The sequence below is a fragment of the Homo sapiens genome, chromosome 2, assembly GCF_000001405.40.
Source record: "Homo sapiens chromosome 2, GRCh38.p14 Primary Assembly".
Lineage (NCBI taxonomy): Eukaryota > Metazoa > Chordata > Mammalia > Primates > Hominidae > Homo > Homo sapiens.
Genome location: NC_000002.12, coordinates 68,064,907 through 68,071,705, shown reverse-complemented (window position 1 = coordinate 68,071,705; position 6,799 = coordinate 68,064,907).

Sequence of the window (6,799 nt, the reverse complement as noted above, 5' to 3'; positions counted from 1 at the left end):
GTTTATTAACATTTATTAAGTGTTTACTCTGTGCCTTGCACTAGGATTAACATTGAAACACATTGTCTCATTTGGTCCTCATAGTACCTAAGAAATAGATACCATTATTGTTTCTATTTTCCAGAAGAGGAAACTGAGGATCAGAGAAGTAACATTTTATTTTTCAGAGCAGTGCCCCCTGCCCCCAACCTTTTGTACTCCTAACACCATTTCAGTGTTTGGTTCCTGAAGGACTCAAATGACACAAGTTGTGACAGTTTGCATTAAAGCCTCATTATTAGGACAAACTGTCAGGTTCTGAGTTATTCTGAGTGATATTTAAGTCTTCCCAGGTCTTTAGTCTTTGTGGTGAAGTTTGTACCTAACTCCTTAGGACAACAGCACTACTCAAAGTATGGTCTATGGATAAGTGTGAGTCCGTGAGCTATTTGTTATTACCTCTCCACAAGATGAGTGCAGAAATTGAGAAGAATCACTTAGAGAATTTTATAGCGATTGTACATTGCTGAAACAATGGTGATCAGTGAACCGGTTATCTTGAATACGACAAAAATTAGTTTGGATGTTGCTGAACTCATATGGTGAGTCCCATGTTGTATGAACTGTGTACCAGTCATGTGCAGTAGGACTACATTAAAATTTGTGATATTTTCAGCTTAGTTTAGTAATCATATCCTAACAATGTATAAAATCTGGAATTGATTTATTTTATCAAAATACAATTTAAACGTAATGACAACTTTAAAGGATAAATTGTTGGAAATAGCAACTGATGAAGGACTAAATATGAATTCTGAAAATATGACATGATTTGTTTCATTTTAGTTAAAAATGAACATCCTTGGCTTGCTAAAACAGCTTTAAAATGTTCCCTGTTATTCCTATCAATGTAGTGATGGGAGACTGGTGCCGACTACAGTGTTAAAATAGAGGAGACATTTAAAATATATGCTATCCTCTGCAAGCTCTACAAGAAGCGCTGTCTTTAATCCAACTATACAGTAATCAGGAACGAGCCCATTTGCCACTTAAAAACTTTATTTTTTTTTTTTGCCTTTTAGAAATTTTATTGTGAAGTTTATATTTCATTTTATTATCTGATTTTAAGAATTGAAAAGTAAATAGCCCAAATAACAGTGTTGATTTTAATATATAATAAATAGTTTAGTTACCATACAATTGAAAGGTATTATTCAACATAATCATGAAATATATTTTCTCTTTTATGGTGACATGAATGTGAAAACTTAATTATTTTCCCCAACAAATTAGCAATTTAAAGCTCTTTGCCTTCCTTTTTTTTTCCAAGTGTAGTACATTTTTTTTATTTTCCAGTAAATCCTTATTTTCTGTGAACACTTGATATAATTATAGTTTTGTCATTCATTAGAGTACCAGGAATTTAACTAGCATTTGATAAGGATTAAATATAAATACTTTTTACATTGATATATTTATGCTTAAAAAAACAAAATGAAATCATTGTACTTTATAACTTGCTTTTTCTTTAACAACATACTATAGGATTTTTCTTTTATGTTGTTCTATTTTCTTTTAATAATTATGAATGGCTGCATAGATTCTCATCAATGAAACCATAGCTTATTAAGGCATCCACTCTATAGATCATTAAACTGCATTTAACACTCTATTTTTCTTCCTAATCAATAAAACCACAATTAATAACTCTGAGTTTAAATCTTGGGCATATTTTTAATTTTTGTTTTTAATATATATTTCTCTAAGGCCAATCAGAAGATCTACAGATATGACCACATTTTTTCTTTCTTTCTTTATTTTTATTTTTTATTTTTTTTTATTATTATACTTTAAGTTCTAGGGTACATGTGCACAACATTGCAGGTTTGTTACATAGGTATACTTGTGCCATGTTGGTGTGCCGCATTCGTTAACTCATCATTTACATTAGGTATATCTCCTAATGCTTTCCCTCCCCCTCCCCCCGCCCCAAGACAGGCCCCGGTGTGTGATGTTCCCTACCTTGTGTCCAAGTGTTCTCATTGCTCAATTCCCACCTATGAGTGAGAACATGCGGTGTTTGGTTTTCTGTCCTTGTGATAGATTGCTCAGAATGATGGTTTCCAGCTTCATCCATGTCCCTACAAAGGACATGAACCTATCCTCTTATGGCTGCATAGTATTCCATGGTGTATATGTGCCACATTTTCTTAATCCAGTCTATCATTGACAGAAATTTGGGTTGGTTCCAAGTCTTTGCTATTGTGAATAGTGCTGCAGTAAACATACGTGTGCATGTGTCTTTATAGCAGCATGATTTATAATCCTTTGGGTATATACCCAGTAATGGGATGGCTGGGTCAAATGGTATTTCTAGTTCTAGATCCTTGAGGAATCGCCACACTGTCTTCCACAATGGTTGGACTAGTTTACAGTCCCACCAACAGTGTGAAAGTGTTCCTATTTCTCCACATCCTCTCCAGCACCTGTTGTTTCCTGACTTTTTAATGATCACCATTCTAACTGCTGTGAGATGGTATCTAATTTTGGTTTTGATTTGCATTTCTCTGATGGCCAGTGATGATGAGCATTTTTTTCATGTGTCTGTTGGCTGCATAGATGTCTTCTTTTGAGAAGTGTCTGTTCATATCCTTTGCCCACTTTTTGGTGGGGTTGTTTCATTTTTTCTTGTAAATTTGTTTAAGTTCTTTGTAGATTCTGGATAGTGGCCTTTTGTCAGATGGGTAGATTGTAAAATTTTTCTCCCATTCTGTAGGTTGCCTGTTCACTCTGATGATAATTTCTTTTGCTGTGCAGAAGCTCTTTAGTTTAATTAGATCCCATTTGTCAATTTTGGCTTTTGTTGCCATTGCTTTTGGTGTTTTAGTCATGAAGTCTTTGCCCATGCCTATGGCCTGAATGGTATTGCCTAGGTTTTCTTCTAGGGGTTTTATGGTTTTAGGTCTAACATTTAAGTCTTTAATCCATCTCGAATTAATTTTTGTATAAGGTGTAAGGAAGGGATCCAGTTTCAGCTTTCTACATATGGCTAGCCAGTTTTCCCAGCACCATTTATTAAATAGAGAATCCTTTCCCCATTTCTTGTTTTTCTCAGGTTTGTCAAAGATCAGATGGTTGTAGATGTGTGGTATTATTTCCAGGGGCCCTATTCTGTTCCATTGGTCTATATATCTGTTTTGGTACCAGTACCATGCTGTTTTGGTTACTGTAGCCTTGTAGTATAGTTTGAAGTCAGGTAGCGTGATGCCTCCAGCTTTGTTCTTTTGGCTTAGGATTGTCTTGGCAACGTGGGCTCTTTTTTGGTTCCATATGAACTTTAGAGTAGTTTTTTCCAATTCTGTGAAGAAAGTCATTGGTAGCTTGATGGGGATGGCATTGAATCTATAAATTACCTTGGGCAGTATGGCCATTTTCACATTATTGATTGTTCCTATCCATGAGCATGGAATATTCTTCCATTTGTTTGTATCCTCTTTTATTTCATTGAGCAGTGGTTTGTAGTTCTCCTTGAAGAGGTCCTTCACATCCCTTGTAAGATGGATTCCTAGGTATTTTATTCTCTTTGAAGCAATTGTGAATGGGAGTTCACTCATGATTTGACTCTCTGTTTGTCTGTTATTGGTGTATAGGAATGCTTGTGATTTTTGCACATTGATTTTGTATCCAGAGACTTTGCTAAAGTTGCTTATCAGCTTAAGGAGATTTTGGGCTGAGACTATGGGGTTTTCTAAATATACAATCATTTCATCTGTGAACAGAGACAATTTGACTTCCTATTTTCCTAATTGAATACACTTTATTTCTTTCTCTTGCCTGATTGCCCTGGCCAGAACTTCCAACACTATGTTGAATGGGAGTGGTGAGAGCTGGCATCCCTGTCTTGTGCCAGTTTTCAAAGAGAATGCTTTGAGTTTTTGTCCATCCAGTATGATATTGGCTGTGGGTTTGTCATAAATAGCTCTTATTATTTTGAGATACATCCCATCAATACCTAGTTTATTGAGAGTTTTTACCATGAAGTGTTGTTGAATTTTGTTGAAGGCCTTTTCTGCATCTATTGAGATAATCATGTGGTTTTTGTCTTTGGTTCTGTTTATATGATGGATTACATTTACTGATTTGTGTATGTTGAACCATCCTTGCATCCCAGGGATGAAGCCAGCTTGATCCTGGTGGATAAGCTTTTTGATGTGCTGCTGGATCTGGTTTGCCAGTATTTTATTGAGGATTTTTGCATCAATGTTCATCAGGGATATTGGTCTAAAATTCTCTTTTTTTGTTGTGTCTCTGCCAGGCTTTGGTATCAGGATGATGCTGGCCTCATAAAATGAATTAAGGAGGATTCCCTCTTTTTCTATTGATGGGAATACTTTCAGAAGGAATGGTACCAGCTCCTCTTTGTACCTCTGGTAGAATTCGGCTGTGAATCCGTCTGGTCCTGGACTTTTTTTGGTTGGCTATTAATTATTGCCTCAGTTTCAGAAACTGTTATTGGTCTATTCAGGGATTCAACTTCTTCCTGGTTTAGTCTTGGGAGGGTGTATGTGTCGAGGAATTTATCCATTTCTTCTAGATTTTCTAGTTTATTTGTGTAGAGGTGTTTATAGTATTCTCTGATGGTAGTTTGTATTTCTGTGGGATCGGTGGTGATATCCCCTTTATCATTTTTTACTGTGTCTATTTGATTATTCTCTCTTCTTTATTAGTCTTGCTAGTGGCCTATCAATTTGGTTGATCTTTTCAAAAACCAGCTCCTGGATTCATTGATTTTTTGAAGGGCTTTTTGTTTCTCTATCTCCTTCAGTTCTGCTCTGATCTTAGTTATTTCTTGCCTTCTGCTAGCTTTTGAATGTGTTTGCTCTTGCTTCTCTAGTTCTTTTAATTGTGATGTTAGGGTGTCAATTTTAGATCTTTCCTGCTTTCTCTTGTGGGCATTTAGTGCTATAAATTTCCCTCTACACACTGCTTTAAATGTGTCCCAGAGATTCTGGTATGTTGTGTCTTTGTTCTCATTGGTTTCAAACAACATCTTTATTTCTGCCTTCATTTTGTTATGTACCCAGTAGTCATTCAGGAGCAGGTTGTTCTGTTTCCATGTAGTTAAGCGGTTTTGAGTGAGTCTCTTAATCCTGAGTTCTAGTTTGATTGCACTGTGGCCTGAGAGACAGTTTGTTATAATTTCTGTTCTTTTACATTTGCTGAGGAGTACTTTACTTCTAAATATGTGGTCAATTTTGGAATAAGTGTGATGTGGTGCTGAGAAGAATGTATATTCTGTTAATTTGGGGTGGAGATTTCTGTAGATGTCTACTAGGTCTGCTTGGTGCAGAGCTGAGTTCAATTCCTGGATATCCTTGTTAACTTTCTGTCTCGTTGATCTGTCTAATATTGACAGTGGGGTGTTAAAGTCTCCCATTATTATTGTGTGGGAGTCTAAGTCTCTTTATAGGTCTCTAAGGGCTTGCTTTATGAATCTGGGTGCTCCTGTATTGGGTGCATGTATAGGTAGTATAGTTAGCTCTTCCTATTGAATTGATCCATTTACCATTATGTAATGGCCTTCTTTGTCTCTTTTGATCTTTGTTGGTTTAAAGTCTGGTTTATCAGAGATTAGGATTGCAACTCCTGCTTTTTTTTGTTTTCCATTTGCTTGGTAGATCGTCCTCCAGCCCTTTATTTTAGCCTATGTGTGTCTCTGAATGTGAGTTGGGTCTCCTGAATACAGCACACTGATGGGTCTTGACTCTTTATCCAATCTGCCAGTCTATGTCTTTTAATTGGAGCATTTAGCCCATTTACATTTCAGGTTAATATTGTTATGTGTGAATTTGATCCTGTCATTATGATGTTAGCTGGTTATTTCGCTCATTAGTTGATGCAGTTTCTTCCTAGCATTGATGGCCTTTACAATTGGCATGTTTTTGCAGTGGCTGGTACCAGTTGTTCCTTTCCATCTTTAGTGCTTCCTTCAGGAGTTCTTGTAAGGCAGGCCTGGTGGTGACAAAATCTCTCAGTATATTTGTCTGTAAAGGATTTTATTTCTCCTTCACTTATGAAGCTTAGTTTGGCTGGATATGATATTCTGGGTTGAAAATTCTTTTCTTTAAGAATGTTGAATATTGGCCCCCACTCTCTTCTGGCTTGTAGAGTTTCTGCCGAGAGATCAGCTGTTACTATGATGGGCTTCCCTTTGTGGGTAACCTGACCTTTCTGGCTGCCCTTAACATTTTTTCCTTCATTTCAACTTTGGTGAATCTGACAATTATGTGTCTTGGAGTTGCTCTTCTCGACGAGTATCTTTGTGGTGTTCTCTGTATTTCCTGAATTTGCATGTTGGCCAGCTTCACTAGGTTGGGGAAGTTCTCCTGGATGATATCCTGAAGAGTGTTTTCCAACTTGGTTCCATTCTCCCAGTCACTTTCAGGTACACAATTCAGATGCAGATTTGGTCTTTTCACAAAGTCTCATATTTCTTGGAGGCTTTGTTCATTTCTTTTTACTCTTTTTTCTCTAAACTTCTCTTCTTGCTTCATTTCATTCATTTGATCTTCAATCACTGATACTCTTTCTTCCACTTGATCAAATCGGCTACTGAAGCTTGTGCATGCGTCACGTTCTTCTCGTGCCACGATTTTCAGTTCCATCAGTCATTTAAGGACTTCTCTACACTGTTTATTCTAGTTAGCCATTCGTCTAATCTTTTTTCAAGGTTTTTAGCTTCTTTGCAATGGGTTCAAACATCCTCCTTTAGCTCGGAGAAGTTTGTTATTACCAGTCGTCTGAAGCTTTCTTCTCTCAA